Source organism: Homo sapiens, chromosome 19 (assembly GCF_000001405.40).
Source record: "Homo sapiens chromosome 19, GRCh38.p14 Primary Assembly".
NCBI classification, from domain to species: Eukaryota; Metazoa; Chordata; class Mammalia; order Primates; family Hominidae; genus Homo; species Homo sapiens.
This window is the reverse complement of record NC_000019.10, coordinates 5,690,033-5,709,052: the sequence shown is the minus strand read 5'-3', so window position 1 is coordinate 5,709,052 and position 19,020 is coordinate 5,690,033. Positions and strand designations below refer to the sequence as shown.

General features: G+C 61.5%; 2 protein-coding genes across 8 annotated transcripts in view, besides 8 other annotated features; one reads left to right on the top strand and one right to left on the bottom strand.

Moving 5' to 3' along the window:
- Positions 1–17,219, top strand: part of LONP1 (lon peptidase 1, mitochondrial) — a 28,619-nt gene extending 11,400 nt beyond the window's left edge. For 4 of the 6 annotated variants that reach the window (NR_076392.2, NM_001276480.1, NM_001276479.2 and 1 more), the window contains 14 exons: positions 650–711; positions 1,227–1,356; positions 1,910–1,993; positions 3,061–3,281; positions 8,126–8,264; positions 9,848–10,026; positions 12,296–12,383; positions 12,682–12,804; positions 12,883–12,999; positions 14,152–14,292; positions 14,501–14,666; positions 15,284–15,501; positions 15,591–15,755; positions 16,845–17,219. Coding sequence is in view for 5 of the 6 variants with exons in the window: in NM_001276480.1 (NP_001263409.1) it covers positions 650–711; positions 1,227–1,356; positions 1,910–1,993; positions 3,061–3,281; positions 8,126–8,264; positions 9,848–10,026; positions 12,296–12,383; positions 12,682–12,804; positions 12,883–12,999; positions 14,152–14,292; positions 14,501–14,666; positions 15,284–15,501; positions 15,591–15,755; positions 16,845–17,021 (2,010 nt within the window). In the remaining variant the exon portion in view is untranslated. Of the gene's footprint in view, positions 1–649; positions 712–1,226; positions 1,357–1,909; positions 1,994–3,060; positions 3,282–4,834; positions 5,323–8,125; positions 8,265–9,847; positions 10,027–12,295; positions 12,384–12,681; positions 12,805–12,882; positions 13,000–14,151; positions 14,293–14,500; positions 14,667–15,283; positions 15,502–15,590; positions 15,756–16,844 lie in introns of those variants that run through there. The other 2 variants (XM_047439719.1, XM_011528441.4) reach the window with 2 other exon arrangements.
- Positions 9,983–10,082: an enhancer, noted in NCBI's record as "active region_13814". NCBI's record gives its function as "activates an Ori minimal core promoter by ATAC-STARR-seq in GM12878 lymphoblastoid cells {active_cell/tissue: GM12878}" and the evidence as "EXISTENCE:reporter gene assay evidence [ECO:0000049][PMID:35858748]".
- Positions 13,348–13,397: an enhancer, noted in NCBI's record as "active region_13813". NCBI's record gives its function as "activates an Ori minimal core promoter by ATAC-STARR-seq in GM12878 lymphoblastoid cells {active_cell/tissue: GM12878}" and the evidence as "EXISTENCE:reporter gene assay evidence [ECO:0000049][PMID:35858748]".
- Positions 17,057–17,106: an enhancer, noted in NCBI's record as "active region_13812". NCBI's record gives its function as "activates an Ori minimal core promoter by ATAC-STARR-seq in GM12878 lymphoblastoid cells {active_cell/tissue: GM12878}" and the evidence as "EXISTENCE:reporter gene assay evidence [ECO:0000049][PMID:35858748]".
- Positions 17,167–17,216: an enhancer, noted in NCBI's record as "active region_13811". NCBI's record gives its function as "activates an Ori minimal core promoter by ATAC-STARR-seq in GM12878 lymphoblastoid cells {active_cell/tissue: GM12878}" and the evidence as "EXISTENCE:reporter gene assay evidence [ECO:0000049][PMID:35858748]".
- On the bottom strand, positions 17,178–18,758 carry RPL36 (ribosomal protein L36). 2 transcript variants are annotated; one of them, NM_033643.3, is made up of 4 exons: positions 18,726–18,758; positions 18,453–18,547; positions 17,600–17,734; positions 17,178–17,521 (listed from the first exon to the last, which is right to left on the bottom strand). In NM_033643.3, exons 2-4 carry the CDS (start codon positions 18,543–18,545, stop codon positions 17,432–17,434), a joined length of 318 nt encoding a protein of 105 aa, NP_378669.1. In that variant the 5' UTR covers positions 18,546–18,547; positions 18,726–18,758; the 3' UTR covers positions 17,178–17,431. The 2 variants fall into 2 exon arrangements, with proteins under 2 accessions (NP_378669.1, NP_056229.2); NM_015414.4 differs by having other exon boundaries at positions 18,453–18,758.
- Positions 17,404–17,929: an enhancer, noted in NCBI's record as "H3K27ac-H3K4me1 hESC enhancer chr19:5691135-5691660 (GRCh37/hg19 assembly coordinates)". NCBI's record gives its function as "activates a minimal SCP1, AML or CMV promoter by ChIP-STARR-seq in primed H9 embryonic stem cells {active_cell/tissue: H9 hESC(primed)}" and the evidence as "EXISTENCE:reporter gene assay evidence [ECO:0000049][PMID:30033119]".
- Positions 17,647–17,696: a silencer, noted in NCBI's record as "silent region_9930". NCBI's record gives its function as "represses an Ori minimal core promoter by ATAC-STARR-seq in GM12878 lymphoblastoid cells {active_cell/tissue: GM12878}" and the evidence as "EXISTENCE:reporter gene assay evidence [ECO:0000049][PMID:35858748]".
- Positions 17,930–18,455: an enhancer, noted in NCBI's record as "NANOG-H3K27ac-H3K4me1 hESC enhancer chr19:5690609-5691134 (GRCh37/hg19 assembly coordinates)". NCBI's record gives its function as "activates a minimal SCP1, AML or CMV promoter by ChIP-STARR-seq in primed H9 embryonic stem cells {active_cell/tissue: H9 hESC(primed)}" and the evidence as "EXISTENCE:reporter gene assay evidence [ECO:0000049][PMID:30033119]".
- Positions 18,456–18,981: an enhancer, noted in NCBI's record as "NANOG-H3K27ac-H3K4me1 hESC enhancer chr19:5690083-5690608 (GRCh37/hg19 assembly coordinates)". NCBI's record gives its function as "activates a minimal SCP1, AML or CMV promoter by ChIP-STARR-seq in primed H9 embryonic stem cells {active_cell/tissue: H9 hESC(primed)}" and the evidence as "EXISTENCE:reporter gene assay evidence [ECO:0000049][PMID:30033119]".

Sequence of the window (19,020 nt, the reverse complement as noted above, 5' to 3'; positions counted from 1 at the left end):
ACAGAGCAAGACTTGGTCTTTTTTTTTTTTTTTTTTTTTTGAGACAGAGTCTCGCTCTTTCGCCCAGGTTGGAGTGCAGTGGCGCGATCTCGGCTCACTGCAAGCTCCATCTCCTGGGTTCACGCCATTCTCCTGCCTCAGCCTCCCGAGTAGCTGGGACTACAGGCGCCCGCCATCACGCCCGCCTAATTTTTGTATTTTTTGGTAGAGACGGGGTTTCACTGTGTTAGCCAGGAGGGTCTCGATCTCCTGACCTCATGATCCACCCGCCTCGGCCTCCCAAAGTGCTTGGATTACAGGCGTGAGCCACCACGCCCGGCCAAGACTTGGTCTCTTAAAAAATGGAGGAAAGAAAACACAGTCTCTTTTTTTCCCCTGAGATAGCTTATCCTAAGGACAAGGCTCTGAGGGGTAAGGAGACAGGGTTTGGTTTTAGTTTTGACTCTCTTGGTCCTGTGTCCCTGGGACTGGTGAGTCCACCAGGGACTGCACTCCTCCATCTCCCAGGCCGTCCGTGGCCAGGGCCAGTTGGCGGAGGGGAGGGAGTTGATGGAGCTGGTGGGTGGGGCTCCCAGGGCCATGCTCCCACCCAGCCCACCCCCTGCTGGAGCACTGCTGGGCCCCAGCGACCCTGCCCCATACTTGGCAGGCCCTGACTGCAGAGATCGTGAAGACCATCCGGGACATCATTGCCTTGAACCCTCTCTACAGGTGGGCCTCTGTGCGGGCAGCTGGCCAGGCGGGGGCATCTCTGCAGCTCTTTCTGCAGCTGGGTGGGTAGGGGGCTTCCTCAGCGTCCTCCTGGGAGGAAACCTTGCCTGCCCCAAGGAGTGGCCTGTGTGGAGGAGCCCGTTGCCCACTGGGGCATGGGGCAGGTGGGAGGCCCGGGGCCGACTCAGCAGGCCCAGTTTCTTTGTCCCCTTCTGCTGAGGCCGGAAGCTGTTGGTGGCATTGGCTGGGGGAGTGGGGAGCAGACTGCTGAGGTGAGGTCACTGCACGGCTCCCGTGGTGGCTGCACGTGAGGATGCTGCATGCCTTTCCAGCCCAGGACGGGTGGGCCCTGAACTCTGGAGAACAAGCAGCAGAGCTGGCTCCCAGCGAGCACCCCTAGACCGTGCCCATAGCTACAGGGGACAGGGACCCTGAGGACCGGGTCCCCGTTTGGGGGCTGCACTGCAGCAGAGCGTGAGGCCCTGGCCACCGAGGCAGCTCCCTTTGTCCCCCAGGGAGTCAGTGCTGCAGATGATGCAGGCTGGCCAGCGGGTGGTGGACAACCCCATCTACCTGAGCGACATGGGCGCCGCGCTCACCGGGGCCGAGTCCCATGAGCTGCAGGACGTCCTGGAAGAGACCAATGTGAGTGCTCGTCACCTCCACAGCCCCCCACGCCTGGCTGCACCCCACCTCCACTATGCTCCGCCCACGCCCGGCTGCCCCCGTTCCTCCTCAGCTCCCCCATGCCTGGCTGCCCTTGTCCCTCCACCGTGCACCATCCACACCCAGCTGTGTGTCCCTGGCTCTGTTTTTGAGATGATTTCCCGCTGCGTGTCTTGGTCCACATCCATCCGCCTTTCGGTGGCTTCATAGCCTTCGGTTGGGAGTCACCGTTGCGGGTTCAGTGGGATCCTCTGGGCCGTGTACCCGGGGCGTTGCCAGTCTTTTGCTGTTGTGAGCAGCACTCCTGAGCGCGTCCCCATGCACGCAGCTGGAGGGCCTGTGAAGTATCCGTAGGATGCGTTTCCAGCACGGGATTTGTTGGGGCAGAGGGCACACATGCCTCTGTGCTGGGTACAGCATGGCCAGGTCCTCCCGGCAGCATCTCTCAGGGTGCGCATTTTCCCCCAACCTCGGCCCTACACACACAGATGCCGACTTCTGCTCATCCTTTCTGTCCTCCCTGTCTCGGCAGATTCCTAAGCGGCTGTACAAGGCCCTCTCCCTGCTGAAGAAGGAATTTGAACTGAGCAAGCTGCAGCAGCGCCTGGGGCGGGAGGTGAGCCCGCGGCTGAGGCGCAGCCACTCTTGGGGGCCTTCCCCTCGGGCCACGTGACATCAGTCAGGCTCTGGAGCACACGGAGGGACCGGTGGCATCGGCCAGGGCAAGCCAAGAAGGCCTGTCTGGGTTTTGAGGGCTTCGTGCCATCATCTGCTCTGTCGTCCTGGGCTGTGGAACTCTCCGCGTTGAACAGGGAAGCTTAAAGCTGGTCCCAGTGTAATGAGCCCAGGGTGGAGCAGTCTCAGGACCGTCCAACATTAAGGGAAGAATTCCTTTGCCTTTGTAATCTTGGGGACAGTGTTGGAAATTGGAAAGCAGCCTGGGAAAAGTGAAGATGCTGTTTCTTAAGACCCAGCCATTGAGGCTCGCTGTCATGATTTTCGGCAGATCACAGCCTGCCTGATGGCCGGTCACCTCACGGTCGTAGCATTTTTCAGAATTTTTTACTTTAAGACAGGGTCTCAGTCGGCCACCTAGGCTGGAGTGCAATGGCGCAATCTCAGCTCACTACAGCCTCCACCTCCAGGGCTCAAGTGATCCTCCCACCTCAGCCTCCCGAGTAGCTGGGATTACAGGCGTGCAATACCACACCGGCTAATTTTTGTATTTTAGTAGAGACAGGGTTTCACCATGTTGGCCAGGCTGGTCTTGAACTCCTGGCCTCAAGTGATCCGCCCGCTTCAGCCTCCCAAAGTGCTAGGATTACAGGCGTGAGCCACCGCGCCTGGCCCCATCTCTACAAAAAATTTTAAAATTAGAGCCAGGTGTGGCAGGTGCCTGTGGTCCCAGTTACTCAGGAGGCTAAGGCAGGAGGATCGCTTGAGCCCAGGAGGTGGAGGCTACGGTGAGCTATGATGGTGCCTTTGCACTCCAGCCTGGGTAACACAGGTAGACCCTGTCTCAAAAACAAAAGAAGATGGAAGGAACCAAAGGCTTCGTGCTCTGGGTTTCGTTTCTTTTCTCTCTGAGTCCTGGGGGAGCAGAGGGTCCCCCTTCGTCTGGGGACGCACCCACCCACCCAGCTTCCCGGAGCCAGGGCCTGATGGCAGCACCTCACCCCACAGGTGGAGGAGAAGATCAAGCAGACCCACCGTAAGTACCTGCTGCAGGAGCAGCTAAAGATCATCAAGAAGGAGCTGGGCCTGGAGAAGGACGACAAGGATGCCATCGAGGAGAAGTTCCGGGAGCGCCTGAAGGAGCTCGTGGTCCCCAAGCACGTCATGGATGTTGTGGACGAGGAGCTGAGCAAGCTGGGCCTGCTGGACAACCACTCCTCGGAGTTCAAGTGAGTGCCAGGCCCGGGGCGGCCCAGCCCTCAGGTGACCCCTCCTCAGCCCCCATCTTAGGCAGGCCAGGGGACCCAGCGGGGAGCCCCGTGGCACCTTCTTGGTGTGGCAGGTGCGGGCTGGGAGGCATCCAGCGAGTATCAGCCCTGTTCTGGGCAGGACACATCATCACCATCTCCATTCTACAAGGAAATCGAGGCTCGGGGCTGTTGAGCTGGTGGCCAGGGCCTGTGAATTGGCAGGTGGTGCCACGGATTTGAGCCCAGGGACGCCTGGCTCTAAGCCAGGGCTGCTTTTTTTTTTTTTTTTTTTTGAAATGGAGTCTCGCTCAGTTGTCCAGACTGGAGTGCAGTGGCACAATCTTGGCTCACTGCAACTTCCGCTTTGCGGGTTCAAGCAATTCTCCTGCTTCAGTCCCCCAAGTATCTGGGACTATAGGCATGCACCACCACGCCTGGTTAATTTTTTGTATTTTTAGGAGACATGGGGTTTCACCATGTTGTTCAGGCTGGTCTCGAACTCCTGACCTCAAATGATCCGGCTGCCTTGACCTGCCAAAGTGCTAGGATTACAGGCGCGAGCCACCATGCCTGGCTTTTTTTTTTTTTTAAGACAGAGTCTTGCTCTGTTGTCCAGGCTGGAGTACAGTGGTGCAATGTTGGTTCACTGCAACCTCCACCTCCCAGGTTGAAACGATTCTACTGCCTCAACTTCCTGAGTAGCTGGGATTACAGGCATGTGCCACCACACCCAGCTAATTTTTAGTATTTTTAGTAGAGATGGGGTTTTGCCATGTTGGCCAGGTTGGTCTCAAACTCCTGACCTCAAGGGATCCGCCCACCTTGCCCTCCCAAAGTGCTGGGATTACAGGCATGAGCCACCACGCCTGGCCTAAGCCAGGCCTTCTCGCCAGGACCAGGAGTCCCCATGGCTGTCTTTGCAAGGCTACCCCTGGCTTCTGTTGCCCCTTCGAGAGTCAGCCAGGAAGTGACCATGCCTTCCCGCAGCACTGGCCTTGCCCGGGGGCCACTGTCCTGAGCATGCCATGAGTCAGGGTGGCCGCCCCAGGTTTGAGGGCCTCAGGTACCTCTGAGATCCTTTCAGCCATGCCCATGTCCAGCCAGGACAGAACCCACCTGGCCACTTCCCATGCAGCATGCTCTGTTTTCAGCCCAGGAACCAGTTGTCACGCCAGGGCAGCTTCTAGGCAGAAGTCCCCGGGGCAGGGCTGGGCAGGCCGTAGGACAGCGCTTAGAGGGAAGGCATGAGTTTCTTTCCTGGCTGCTGGCCCAGGACCCCGCCTCAGATTTGAATGTCACGGTCGCCGGAGTCTCTCCCCCAGGGCCCTGAGAGGCACTGGTTGCGCGCGAAGGCTGTGGCTTCCCCTCCCAGCACGCCCCGATTTCGGTGAGTGGCCTGTGAGCTCCCATGGCTGCTCCGACGGTGCCACAACTTAGTGCCTTACACAATGCCGAGCCCTGAGATCCCGCTGTGGGCCGGGCCCGTCCCTCCCAGAGGCTCCAGAGGAGAATCCGTTTCCTGCCTTTCCCAGTATCTGGAGGCGCCCGCATCCCTCGGCTCGGGGCCCCTTCCTCCTTCACAGCCACAGCGCAGCCTCTTCCAGTCAGTCTCTCACCTCCCACCGCCTGTCGTGAGGACCTGGTGAGGAACCTGGGCCCCCTGGGTCACCCAGAATGCTCTCCTGTCTCGGGGACCTTCACTCAGCCCCATCTGCAGTTCCCTGCTGCCATGTGAGAGGCCTGTGCCGCCGCCTCCTGTGGGGGGAGAACGTAGATGTTTTCGGGGTTCTTCTGTCTCCCAGCGAGTGCCTCAGCTGCCCTTGGGCTGGTGGAAGTACCTGCTCAGACCGGGCCTTGTCCTGCAGAAGCAGATAGCTCCTTCCCCCAGGAGCTGAGGGGGTCTGTAAGGCGGGTTCTGTCCTCAGGTCCTGGGAAGTCACGGGGGACAAGCCCTCAGTACCTGCGTGTCACCAAGATGCCTGCAGCAGGCTGCCAGCTACCTCTCCCACCCAGAATGCTCTCCGCAAAGTGTCACTGCCTGTGTCACTTCCACAGTGACTTCATGTGTCTCTAAACTCCAGCATCCGTGTGGCCCAGCTGGCCTGTCCCGGTGCGTCTCGTATGCCCGTTGGGTGGCAGTGCGCCCTGACGGTGTCTGCTCGTGGGGCCGCCTGGCCCTTCCTCGGAAGCCGTCCTCCTCTTCATCCTCTTCCCCAATCCTGCCGTGTGCTCTTGCAGCCCTCACTGACTTGCTCCTGGCCCATAGTGGCCGCTGCTCACTGCTGCACGGCTCCCAACTTGGGGACCAATATGGAGTTGCCCTCCCAACCTTCAGCGTCACTCTCCCGGCAGGGGACCTGGCCTCCATTTCCCCACCTGCCCTGGGTCAGGCCTTGTCCCATTTTCTAAGCCTCGTCCCCTCTGTGGTTCTGCTCACTCAGCCCTGGGCAGAAGCCAGTGCCGTCTTGGCTCTCCTGATGAGTCAGCAGTGGACCTCCGGCCATCTCCTCCTTCCTGCACTGGGTGCTTTGGACAGGGCAGTTTGTAAATTTTTTTTTTTTTTTTTTTTTGAGATGGAGTCTCACTCTGTTGCCCAGGCTGGAGTGCAGTGGCACGATCTCGGCTCACTGCAAGCTCCGCCTCTCGGGTTCATGCCATTCTCCTGCCTCAGCCTCCCGAGTAGCTGGAACTACAGGTGTCCGCTGCCACGCCCAGCTAATTTTTTTTTTTTTTTTTATTGATCATTCTTGGGTGTTTCTCGCAGAGGGGGATTTGGCAGGGTCATAGGACAATAGTGGAGGGAGGGTCAGCAGATAAACAAGTGAACAAGGGTCTCTGGTTTTCCTAGGCAGAGGACCCTGCGGCCTTCCGCAGTGTTTGTGTCCCTGGGTACTTGAGATTAGGGAGTGGTGATGACTCTTAACCAGCATGCTGCCTTCAAGCATCTGTTTAACAAAGCACATCTTGCACCGCCCTTAATCCATTTAACCCTGAGTGGACACAGCACATGTTTCAGAGAGCACAGGGTTGGGGGTAAGGTCACCGATCAACAGGATCCCAAGGCAGAAGAATTTTTCTTAGTACAGAACAAAATGAAAAGTCTCTCATGTCTACTTCTTTCTACACAGACACGGCAACCATCCGATTTCTCAATCCTTTCCCCCTTTTCTATTCCACAAAACTGCCATTGTCATCATGGCCCGTTCTCAATGAGCTGTTGGGTACACCTCCCAGATGGGGCGGCTGGCCGGGCGGGGGGCTGACCCCCACTCCTCCCTCCCAGAGGGGGCGGCTGGCCAGGCAGAGGGGCTCCTCACTTCCCAGTAGGGGCGGCCGGGCAGAGGCGCCCCTCACCTCCCGGACGGGGCGGCTGGCCGGGCGGGGGGCTGACCCCCCCACCTCCCTCCCGGACGGGGCGGCTGGCTGGGCGGGGGGCTGACGCCTCCACCTCCCTCCCGGATGGGGCAGCTGGCCTGGTGGGGGGCTGACCCCCCCCCCAACCTCCCTCCCAGACGGGGCGGCTAGCCGGGCGGGGGGCTGACCCCCACTCCTCCCTCCCGGAGGGGGCGGCTGGCCGGGCAGAGGGGCTCCTCACTTCCCAGTAGGGGCGGCCGGGCAGAGGCGCCCCTCACCTCCCGGACGGGGCGGCTGGCCGGGTGGGGGGCTGACCCCCCCACCTCCCTCCCGGACGGGGTGGCTGCTGGGCGGAGACGCTCCTCACTTCTCAGACGGGTCGGTTGCCAGGCAGAGGGTCTCCTCACTTCTCAGGGCTGCCGGGCAGAGACGCTCTTCCCCTCCCAGACGGGGTCGCGGCCGGGCAGAGGCGCTCCTCATATCCCAGACAGGGCGGCGGGGCAGAGGCGCTCCCCACATCTCAGATGATGGGCGGCCGGGCAGAGACGCTCCTCACCTTCCAGACTGGGCAGCCAGGCAGAGGGGCTCCTCACATCCCAGACGATGGGCGGCCAGGCAGAGACGCTCCTCACTTCCCAGACAGGGTGGCGGCCGGGCAGAGGCTGCAATCTCGGCACTTTGGGAGGCTAAGGCAGGCGGCTGGGAGGTGGAGGTTGTAGCGAGCCGAGATCACGCCACTGCACTCCAGCCTGGGCACCATTGAGCACTGAGTGAACGAGACTCCGTCTGCAATCCCGGCACCTCGGGAGGCCGAGGCCGGCGGACCACTCGCGGTTAGGACCTGGAGACCAGCCCGGCCAACACAGTGAAACCCCGTCTCCACCAAAAAAATAGGAAAACCAGTCAGGCGTGGCGGCGCGCGCCTGCAATCGCAGGCACTCGGCAGGCTCAGGCAGGAGAACCAGGCAGGGAGGTTGCAGTGAGCCAAGATGGCAGCACACAGTCCAGCCTCGGCTCGGCATCAGAGGGAGACCATGGAAAGAGGGAAAGGGGAGACCGTGGAAAGGGGAGAGGCAGAGGGCAGAGGCAGAGGCAGAAGCATTTTTTGTATTTTTAGTAGAGACAGGGTTTCACCGTGCTAGCCAGGATGGTCTCGATCTCCTGACCTTGTGATCCGCCTGCCTCGGCCTCCCAAAATTCTGGGATTACAGGCGTGAGCCACTGTGCCTGGCCTGTAAATTGTTTTATAGAGATGGGGTCTTGCTGAGTTGCTCAGGCTGGTCTTGAACTCCTGGGCTCAAGTGATCCTCCCACCTGGGCCTCCCAAAGAGCTGGGATTACAGGCGTGAGCCACCGCGCTCAGCCCCACACATGGGTTTCAAGCCCCTTGCAACCACCCAGCCAAGTCCAGCAGAGAGACAGGCAGCTCGTGAGCTCCACTCAGCATCTCTCCATCTGTCCCCTGGCAGTGTCACCCGCAACTACCTAGACTGGCTCACGTCCATCCCTTGGGGCAAGTACAGCAACGAGAACCTGGACCTGGCGCGGGCACAGGCAGTGCTGGAGGAAGACCACTACGGCATGGAGGACGTCAAGAAACGCATCCTGGTGAGCCCAGTGTCTGGCCTGTTGTGGATTTGCATGTGGGTGCCCGGGCCCAGGACTCTTGTGTGCTGTGGGTTGAGATTTCAAAGGAGCCCCCTGGTGAATTCGTAGGCCTGGGGGTGCTGGTCGGGGGGATCCCGGCGGAGGTAGCATCCTGCCCTGCCCCCGAGGGCTCGAGGATTTCCCAGGTGGACTGAAGTCATGCCTGACGGGCCGGGCATGGTGGGGCTGCTTGTAGTCCCAGTTACTCAGGAGGCTGAGGCGGGAGGATCACTTGAGCCCAGGAAGTTGAGGCTGTGGTGAGCTGTGATCATGCCACTGCACATCAGGTTGGGTGACAGAGTGAGACCCCCATCTCTACAAAAAATTTTAAAATTGCGGCTGGGCGCTGTGGCTCATGCCTGTAATCCCAGCACTTTGGGAGGCTGAGGCATGCAGATCACCTGAGGTCGGGAGTTGAAGACCAGCCTGACCAACATGGAGAAACCCCATCTATACTAAAAATACAAAATTAGTTAGGCGTGGTGGCGCATGCCTGTAATCCCAGCTACTTGGGAGGCTGAGGCAGGAGAATCGCTTGAACCCAGGAGCCAGAGGTTGCAGTGAGCCCAGATCGTGCCATTGCACTCCAGCCTGGGCAACAAGAGTGAAACTCCGTCTCAAAAAGGAAAAAAAATTTTTTTTAATTAGCCTGGTGTGATGTTGCGTGTCTGCAGTCCCAGCTACTTGGGAGGCTGAGGTGGGAGGACTGCTTGAGCCCGGGAGGTGGAGGCTGCAGTGAGCTGTGATGCACCACTACACTCCAGCCTGGGTGACAGAGCGAGACCTTGTCTGAAAATTAATTAATTTTAAATTAATTTTTAAAATATCACTCCTGAGACATTGGAAACCAGGCAGGCAGGTGGGAGTCAAAGGTTAAAAAACAGGAGTCAGAGCCTGGGCATGGTGGCTCACACCTGTAATCCCAGCACTTGGGGAGGCCGAGGCGGGTGGATCACAAGGTCAGGAGTTCGAGACCAGCCTGACCAACATGGTGAAACCTCGCCTCTACTAAAAATACAAAAAAAGTAGCCAGGCATGGTGACTCACACCTGTAATCCCAGCTACTCAGGAGGCTGAGGCAGGAGAATTGCTTGAACCCAGGAGGCTGAGGTTGCAGTGAGATGAGATCGCACCAGTACACTCTAGCCTGGGCCACAGAGCAAGACTCCATCTCAAAAAAAAAAAAAAAAAAAACAGGAGCCAGAGGCATTGGTGGACTGCTTCTCTGGGTTGGACCGGAGAGAGTGGAGCATTTGCGGTCTTCAGGGTCCCGGGAACTGCTGAACGGGCCTGGCACTGCCGGGTGGCCGCGGTCTCCTAGCACCTAGTTGTCCTTTGGTGTTAAATTGTTAAATGGAGCCCTTGTCACAGGCTGCCCCTCCCCGTGGCCAGTGGCAGCTCTGATGTGCTCAGCCTCCCGGACAATCCTGGTCCCTTCTCGCAGCCCTCAGACGTCTGAAAGGCAGTGTGCAGGTGGCGAGAGTCATGCGCGGGTCCCCGGCTTCCCCAGCTCACGTGCCCACTGAACCTGCCTCTGTCTGCAGGAGTTCATTGCCGTTAGCCAGCTCCGCGGCTCCACCCAGGGCAAGATCCTCTGCTTCTATGGCCCCCCTGGCGTGGGTAAGACCAGCATTGCTCGCTCCATCGCCCGCGCCCTGAACCGAGAGTACTTCCGCTTCAGCGTCGGGGGCATGACTGACGTGGCTGAGATCAAGGGCCACAGGTAGGCCTGGCCTGACAGCTCTCCCCACGCACTCCCCTCAGCTGTGCTGCCGGGCTTCGTCTTCTCCGGTCACCCTTTAACATCTGGTAGAGCAATCCGGGTTGTGGGCAACCGATTCCACTCATGCTGGAGTAACTGAAAAGTCCAGCCATGTGGCGGACTTCAGGCCCAGCTGATTCCAGGTGCTCAAACAGCGCTGGCAGGAACCTCCATGGCTTGACCCCTGGGAGAGAGACTTCTCGGGCCGGCCCTCAGCAGACACCCCCGGTAGTTCCAGCATAGGACCTGCAATGCCCGGGCCAGAGCTGCAGGGCCGGCGTTTGCCGTGCAGATGCTGGTCTATGTGGGCTGTGGCTGATGCCCCAGGACTAGGGGTGGGGTCGGCTCCACCCCCCACCCCGAAGCCTGTGGGCTGGAGTCAGGAGAGACGGTCTCCAGTGAGGACCGGGCCGCGCACACCAGAGAAACCTTGGCGCCTCTGTGGGCTCACTCGTCCCGGCCAGCCTCAGGCCCAGAAGCAGGGGCCACGGCCCTCAGAGTTCAGCGCCCTCCCACCTGACCCTTTGGGTGGGCAGCCGGGCGCGGCTTTTCTGGGGCTTCCCTCCTCGCCAGCCTCTGTAGACAGCGGTTCTTTGGAAACCGTAGCCTCAGTGAGAGCCGAGTGTGAGGCATCTGCTGAGTCCACCACGTGTTTCCATCCTGCAAGGCATTCACTTGAGTCCAGGTTTAAAGTGAACATTTCTGCCTTCTCTAAAAACATCCCCAGCTCCCGACCTCCCGGCTCAGGCCTTCCTAGCATCTGCCCGCCCGCTGCAAGGGTGACAGCATGCTGGCCCGCGCAGTGTCCAGTCCCCAGGGGGCGGCCACTCTGACCAGCCGGGAGTTGGGAGGAGCTGGAGGAGGTGGGGCCAGTGCAGCTTTGGGGAGTCCCAGATTGACTAGGGGGTGGGGGGTGTGAGGGGGAGGACAGGGGACCTGTTCTGCAGGCCCTTGGTTGGGCTGGGGTCTGAGCAGGAAGGAGCAGCTGGGTGAAGGTGGAGGGGTGGGGGTGGGGGGCACCCAGTCCTTCCTGGGCAAGCGGTTTGAAGTGGTCGCGAAGCCTCTTGGAGCCTGGTTCAGGGATGGCTGGAGGTGCGGGCCGGAGGAGAGACCCTGGCGGGGTTCTGAACAAGCCTGGGTCACCTCTGGCCTTGGGAGGGAGTCACCAGGTAGCGGGGCTGCGGGGAGGGCAGGCGTCTGCTGACGTCTCTGGGTTCCTGAGACAAGGACAAGGACAGGAGACTGGCTGCGGGGCGATGGATCGTTGTTATTAACAGCAGCAAAACCCTCCTTTGCCCCCAGCTCTCCAGGGCTCCCACGTTCCTCGGTCAAAGCCCAAGTTCTCACTGCAGCCCACAGGACCCCGCATGACCTGCCCCACCCCCTCCTCTCTCTCCCTCTCTTCTTCCTCCCCCTCCCTCTACCCCCTTCCCTCTCCATCTCCTCCCTCTTCCCCCTCTCCTCCCTCTTCTCTCCCCCCCTCCTCCCTCTGCCTCAGCCTCATGGCCTCCTCACTGTTCTTCTAACACACCAGGCGTGGTCCTGTTTCAGGGCCTTTGCACGGGCTGTGTCCTGGGCCTGGAACACATCTCTCAGACCCTCACGTGGCTCTCTCCTCACGTGCGTTGCTCGGGGCCTCTCCCTAAGACACTCCTTACCCCCCTGCACACTTAAAGTGTCACACACATCCCAGTGGCATCTCAGTCCCTCCATCCCTGCCTCCCTGTGTCTTCATCCCACAGACAGAGCCTTCCTCACTGTCTCTCGTGGGGCCTGGGATTCTTCTGTCCCTGTCGCGGGCCGGGCCCCTGTGCTGGGGCAGAGCACAGAGCTTGCAGGAAGCCCTCCTGAGAGCCAGTGCTGGCCATGGCTAGTATCACCCCAGCCCTTGAGGGCTGAGGCGTGCCTGGCGTCCCTCAGTGAGGAGTGGGGGCCTTCTGCTGCCAGCGCCTGTCTGGCTTTCACCATGGTGTCAGCTGAGGGATGGGACTGAGGGAGATCTGGCTTTGAATCAGTGACCCCAGAATCTGAGCTGGCGAGTCAGGGCAAGTGACCAGCGTGCCTGCAGGTGCCACACATCCGGCGGCTGCCAGCATTTCCGCCTCCCACATCATGGCCACATCTTGTGGGGCTCCAGGTGGCCTCTCCCCTGTGGCCCTGGAGGGTGCATGGTGTCGTTGTGGCCGAGCCAGGCTACCAAGTGACCTCTGACCCCGCTGTGCACCCACAGGCGGACCTACGTGGGCGCCATGCCCGGGAAGATCATCCAGTGTTTGAAGAAGACCAAGACGGAGAACCCCCTGATCCTCATCGACGAGGTGCGTGCGGAGAGGCCCGGAGACCCCCTAACCCGGCAATGCCGTGTGCAAGATGAAGCCGAGCCTTCCGGGTCCTAGGATCCCCGAGCCAACTCAGGGGCCATCGCCGTGATGCTGGCCCTGATGGCACGGACGGGTCCCTCCCACCCACAGCCACGCCCAGCAGGCTGCCCGTCCAAGGCAGGGTGTGGGTGCCGCTCTCACTCGGGGTCTCCCCAGCCCTGACCCTGGGGTCTCCCCACTGGGCGGGCTGGCCAGGGGCACGGCGAGGGGCACCACCTGCTGTCTGCTGCCCCAGGTGGACAAGATCGGCCGAGGCTACCAGGGGGACCCGTCGTCGGCACTGCTGGAGCTGCTGGACCCAGAGCAGAATGCCAACTTCCTGGACCACTACCTGGACGTGCCCGTGGACTTGTCCAAGGTGGGGGGCCTGTCTGGGGCCTGGGCTTGCTGGGGAGGGTAAGCGGCCAGTCCCCCAGCACCTTGCCGCCGCCCCCAGGTGCTGTTCATCTGCACGGCCAACGTCACGGACACCATCCCCGAGCCGCTGCGAGACCGTATGGAGATGATCAACGTGTCGGGCTACGTGGCCCAGGAGAAGCTGGCCATTGCGGAGGTAAGCCCAGCCCCTCCCCACTGCTGTCCCCTTCCCAGAGCAGGGGGCGCCCCCCAGAGCCTGCAGAGGCCGTGCCTCTGGGAGCTCCTGGGCCCGGGAGAGACAGGTGGGACCTGCGGCCGAGGAGCAGATGGGGCCGTGAGAGACACACCAGACGCTTGCGAGCAGCTGCAGGTGGCGCGAGTGGGCGCAGGGTTTAGGGCCTGGGACTGTCCAAAACACCGCCCACCACCGTCAGGCCACACACTCTGTCTCCCGGGGCCTCCAGGCTGCCCCATGGTGGGGCCCCCACCTGGCCCAGAGTGTAGGGAAGGTTTCTGGCAGCCGGAAGCAGTGGGGCCTGTGGCTCCCACCCAGAATGAGGCTTGGAGGAGAAGTGGTTTCAGTGAGGAGCATGCAGGGGCCCATATTTCTCATGTGTTTTTTTTTCTGCAAAGGTGCTGAGTGCATTTCTCCCCTAGGAGCCCTTTGACAGCCAGTGGTGGGCACTGGTCCCTGCCCTTGAGGCCCTCCCAGCATCCTCGTGTCCCCTGGGGGCTTCAATGCCCACTGCTGGGCCCAGTTCCCAGCCTGACTTCTCCAAGGGACGGGCCTGTAGTTCCTGGGGACAGGACTGGGGGGCATGGGGACCCCTCAGGGCATCAGGAGTGCCCCCCAGTATCAGTGGCAGATGTAGAGTGGCTTGCATGGCTCTGTCCGTCTCACAGATGCCCTCCCCCATGCCATTAGAGCTCAGAACTGTGGCAAGAATTGTGTGGGGCTGTGGGTGACCCTGGAGCCCCTGACCCAGTCCCCTTCCTCATGTGCTGAGGGCAGCAGCCACGTAACCAGTCAGCCACCCTACAGGCCCTGGGTCTGTGTATGGGGCCAGCCCATGGGGCAACCAGGAGGCCTTCCTGGAGGAAGCGGCATCTAAGATACCATTGGGGGATAGGAAGTGGATCCAAGCAGAGGACGCAGCACAAGCAAAGGCCTGGGGCCTCTGGGCATGGTGGGTGGCAGGGCGGGGTGTCCAGGCCCTGGTTTCACCATCAGGGACCTCGTTCCCAGGCCAGGGTCTGGGGGCCATGGGAGAGGCATTGGCTCCCAGGTTCTAGACTGAGCTGGTGGGCAAGGTCCCTCCAGACCCAACCCTGACGGTTGCCCTTGCAGCGCTACCTGGTGCCCCAGGCTCGCGCCCTGTGTGGCTTGGATGAGAGCAAGGCCAAGCTGTCATCGGACGTGCTGACGCTGCTCATCAAGCAGTACTGCCGCGAGAGCGGTGTCCGCAACCTGCAGAAGCAAGTGGAGAAGGTGAGCGGCCAGCCCGCCCTCCTGGCACCTGCCGCCCACCTCACCATCCCACGCTGATCACCCCACCTTTCCATGCCCATCATCCCACTTTCCTGCGCCCATCACCCCACCACCCCGCGCCCGTCACACCTTTCTGTGCCCGTCACCCCACCACCCCGCACCTGTCACCCCACCTTCCCGTGCCCATTGTGTTGCCCTGACCGCCCAGGTGTTACGGAAATCGGCCTACAAGATTGTCAGCGGCGAGGCCGAGTCCGTGGAGGTGACGCCCGAGAACCTGCAGGACTTCGTGGGGAAGCCCGTGTTCACCGTGGAGCGCATGTATGACGTGACACCGCCCGGCGTGGTCATGGGGCTGGCCTGGACCGCAATGGGTGAGCGTGGTGGCGGGAGAAGACCCCAAAGCCATTCCCATTTCTACCCGAGAACAAGCAGGTCCCACCTTGTACACCTGTGCAGTGGGCCTCAGGTGGCTCTGAACGGCCTCTGGCGGGGGGTGGTGTGCTGGGAGCCCAGGGGGTCTGGGCTGAGGGAGGGGAAGGCTGTGACACATGGGGGTGGCAGCACACCATGGGCCTTATGGATTTGGGTGCCACTTTGATAGGCTTACAGGTAAGGACAAGCTCATCCAGATGGGCCTTGGGGCCACCACGCACAAAGGAGGCGAGAGGGCAAAGGGGATGGTGCGGGAGGGGCTGGAGAAGGGCTTGTGTCTGTCTGCAGGGCAGCGGCAGCTGGGCCTTGTAGCCCTGGGCGTGTCCTCTGTGGCTGGCAGCTGCTGGGGGCTGCCCTGTGGGGCGTACAGAGCCAGGAACCCGCAACGCAGCAAACGTAGAGGCCAGCGTTGGCTCACGATGGGACACCAACCCCTGCCCAGGGGCACCAAGATGCTAAACTGGGGCAGGAGCGGTCAGAGTGGCCCCGAGGGGTGGAGTGAGCACCGGCCTGGGCTCCGAGGCCTCCCGTGTTCACAGCTCCACACCTGTTTCAGGAGGCTCCACGCTGTTTGTGGAGACATCCCTGAGACGGCCACAGGACAAGGATGCCAAGGGTGACAAGGATGGCAGCCTGGAGGTGACAGGCCAGCTGGGGGAGGTGATGAAGGAGAGCGCCCGCATAGCCTACACCTTCGCCAGAGCCTTCCTCATGCAGCACGCCCCCGCCAATGACTACCTGGTGACCTCACACATCCACCTGCATGTGCCCGAGGTGACCGCGCCATCCGCTCCCACCTGCTCCCGCCCAGTCCCTGGGCTGCTGGCCACCTGCTCACCCACTATCCCCACATGCCTCCACAGGGCGCCACCCCCAAGGACGGCCCAAGCGCAGGCTGCACCATCGTCACGGCCCTGCTGTCCCTGGCCATGGGCAGGCCTGTCCGGCAGAATCTGGCCATGACTGGCGAAGTCTCCCTCACGGGCAAGATCCTGCCTGTTGGTGGCATCAAGGAGAAGACCATTGCGGTGAGTGTCCCTGTACCCACCCCACAGCACTGGCAGGGCCCACACCACCACGGGACAGGCCCAGTCCCCGCCATGCAACCTCTGCCTGGGCCAAGGAGAGGGAAGCCCTGGGCTTTGGAAGCAGGTCTCTCTGGCCTGGAGCTGGCCTTAAGCTCACCGCCCTAGCTGCCTTCTCCACAGCAAGTCTTGTGGAGAACATTCTGAGCCTCCACTGGCTTCCCCAGTAGGATTGGGGGGGTGGCTCCTGCTTCTCTTCCCAGGCAGCCCAGCGCCAAGGGAGAGGCTAGAGATGGGGACGACGTTTAGGATTACTGGTGGCGGGGGTGTTTGGAGCCCCTGGCCAGGGGCTGGCCTCTTCCAAGGGTGCTGAGCAGGTTGGAGCGCCACTGTCCCCACTCTTCCCTCCCATCCCTGCCTGTCCCCAGACTGGACCACACTTGCCATGTGTCTAGGAAGCCTGGTGCAGTCAGTCAGGAGATGCCACCACGAGGGAGGCATGGTCAAGTGGCTGTGACCACCTTGAATTGGACACCAGGCACAGACTTCCTAGATGATAAAATGGTGGAGGCAAATTGGGAGGCTCACTGTCCATGGAGTCAGTGTGCGGTGACAGTGGGAACTGCTGTCCTTTCAAGGGGCTGTGGTGGGGCTGTGCCTGGCATCTACTCCAGATATGTGTAGCCTCCGGAGGTGAGGGGGGTGACGCAGGGCCTGGGGGCAGAGATGCAGATGCTCACAGGAACCCTGTTCAGGCCCCAGACACTGCCTGACCTCTGGATGTGAGGCCGTGGGTGTGTGGCTCATCCAGAGCCCTGAGACTGCTCCCACCGCACGGCCAGACTTCCTAGATAAGGGGGTGGGGAGGCCCTGGCTCCTGCTCTCAGGCTGTTGGAGCCAAGGCCAGTGGTTTTGCCTTGAGCCTGTTTCCCCGTGGGAGACGGGGACCCTGGTGGGTTTTGGGACTTACTGCTTAGAACCCGGCATCACTGTGTATCGCCGGTCCCCAGGAAGCCCTTTCGTTCCTGGAGGTTAGCACACCTGCTGCCCTCCCACAGGCCCAGGCAGGGCTGACCCTGACTCTGCCCCCAGGCCAAGCGCGCAGGGGTGACGTGCATCGTCCTGCCAGCCGAGAACAAGAAGGACTTCTACGACCTGGCAGCCTTCATCACCGAGGGCCTGGAGGTGCACTTCGTGGAACACTACCGGGAGATCTTCGACATCGCCTTCCCGGACGAGCAGGCAGAGGCGCTGGCCGTGGAACGGTGACGGCCACCCCGGGACTGCAGGCGGCGGATGTCAGGCCCTGTCTGGGCCAGAACTGAGCGCTGTGGGGAGCGCGCCCGGACCTGGCAGTGGAGCCACCGAGCGAGCAGCTCGGTCCAGTGACCCAGATCCCAGGGACCTCAGTCGGCTTAATCAGAGTGTGGCATAGAAGCTATTTAATGATTAAAGTCATTTGCAGTACGGCGGCTTCCTCACCTGCTGCCCCGGGAAGGGTGGGCGGGCCACGGCTTTTGATTCACGACCAGGCAGCACCCGGAGAGGGTGTGGCTCAGAGCGGGCACCAGACAGGGGACTGCGGGCCCCCGACACACCCACACCCACCCACGGACAGCAGGAGAGCCAGGGCTTCTGTCAAGCTGTTCTTTATTTCAGGGAGAGGGCAGGGGAGGGGCTCAGTCTTTCTTGGCAGCAGCTTTCCTCATGGCGGCCAGTACGTTGCTCAGCTCCTCCCGCTTCCTCTTGGCGCGGATGTGCGTCCCCACCTGCCAGGGACGAGGCCGCCGTCAGCCCGGCCCTGACTCCCATCCCACCCCGCCCCTCGGCCGGCAGCGCCCACCTACCCTTTTCTTGATAAATTTGAGGGCCCGTTTGTCCTTGGAGACCTTCAGTAACTCCATGGCGCGCCGCTCGTACGGGGCAAAGCCACACACCTCCCGAATCATGTCCCGCACGAACTTGGTGTGTTTGGTCAGACGCTAGGGGGGAAAGGGGCGGCCGTCAGGGTAGGGGGATCCCTGCATTCTAGTTAAGCAGCTTCTCTCGCGCTGCCGCGATTTCCCTGGCTACTTCCTCCCCTCTGTGGGTAGCTGTGAGAACCAAGGTATTAACGCCTAGCGCTTTTCGCCGCGCCCGGAGCAGCTCCCATCCTCCCTAAGTCCCAGTCTCCGCAACACTGGCAGGACGCACCTGGAGTCTGGGCTGCCTGCTGAATAAAGGCGCCCAATACACTGACACACCTGAAATCCCTCAACCTCACACACCGCAACCTCGGGCCAGCTCCATGAGCGAACTCCTTACTCCTGCGTCAGAACCCCAAACCCGCTGCCCGCTTAATAAAGGCGCCCAATACACTGACACACCTGAAATCCCTCAACCTCACACACCGCAACCTCGGGCCAGCTCCATGAGCGAACTCCTACTCCTGCGTCAGAACCCCAAACCCGCTGCCCCGCGCCGCTCTCAAGGTGCTCCCTCTGCCCCAGCGTGGATTGCACGGTTGGGAAAAACCCAGATGGGTGCCCGCCTTCGAGCACCAGGCAGGAAGTCCCACTCCCCCACCCCATCTCTTCCATTCAAGCCCCCCTTAGTTCTGCGCCCGAACGCGCGTTCTTTCAGGTCGAGAGCCTTTGCCCAAGCCATGCCCTCCGCCCTCCAAGAAACCCCCGACAACCTCCGCGCGGCACCCGCACTCACCCCGCGGCGTCGGCTGTGCCTGGGCTTGCTCACGTTCTTGGTCACTTTGTGGCCCTTGTTGAGGCCCACGGCCATAGGGTAGCGTAGGGCCATGGCTGCGGACAGCGACGGGGAGAAGGGGCGGAGGTGAGTACCGGCTCAGTTCCCGAGGCCCAGAGCCCCGCGTCCCGGCTCCTTCAGCCTCGCTCGCCACAACCAACCATCCTCCAACCTGCACAGAGGACCCGGGAGTCCGGATGGCGGCGGATACCGGCAGTGCGGGAAACCACTTACCTGCTGCTCTCCAGAGACGGCCGTGGCGGAAGGGCTGGCGCCGCGCGGAACTCCGGGATATCTACTCGGCTCAGGAGGCGCAGGCCAGAGAGGCAAGAACGGCACGCGCTCCCCCTGGCGGCTGGAGTCTTCCCCGCCGTTGCGCTGAGCATGCGCGACCGAGCTCCCTGAGCATGCGCGTTTACTCCTGCGAGCCCGGGAGCTGGAGTCGGAACCAGTGGAGGTGGCTATGGCTGCTCTCCTCCCTCTGCCTGTGAAATGAGTTCGAATCCCAACTCCGCCTATTTCGGGCCGA

Excerpts from the sequence above, each read along its gene's own strand:
- RPL36 (NM_015414.4), bottom strand. The coding sequence starts at position 18,545 with ATGGCCCTACGCTACCCTATGGCCGTGGGCCTCAACAAGGGCCACAAA. Across the intron at positions 17,735-18,452 it reads GGCACAGCCGACGCCGCGGG|CGTCTGACCAAACACACCAA; the intron begins GTGAGTGCGGGT and ends TTTCCCCCCTAG. Across the intron at positions 17,522-17,599 it reads TCAAATTTATCAAGAAAAGG|GTGGGGACGCACATCCGCGC; the intron begins GTAGGTGGGCGC and ends CGTCCCTGGCAG.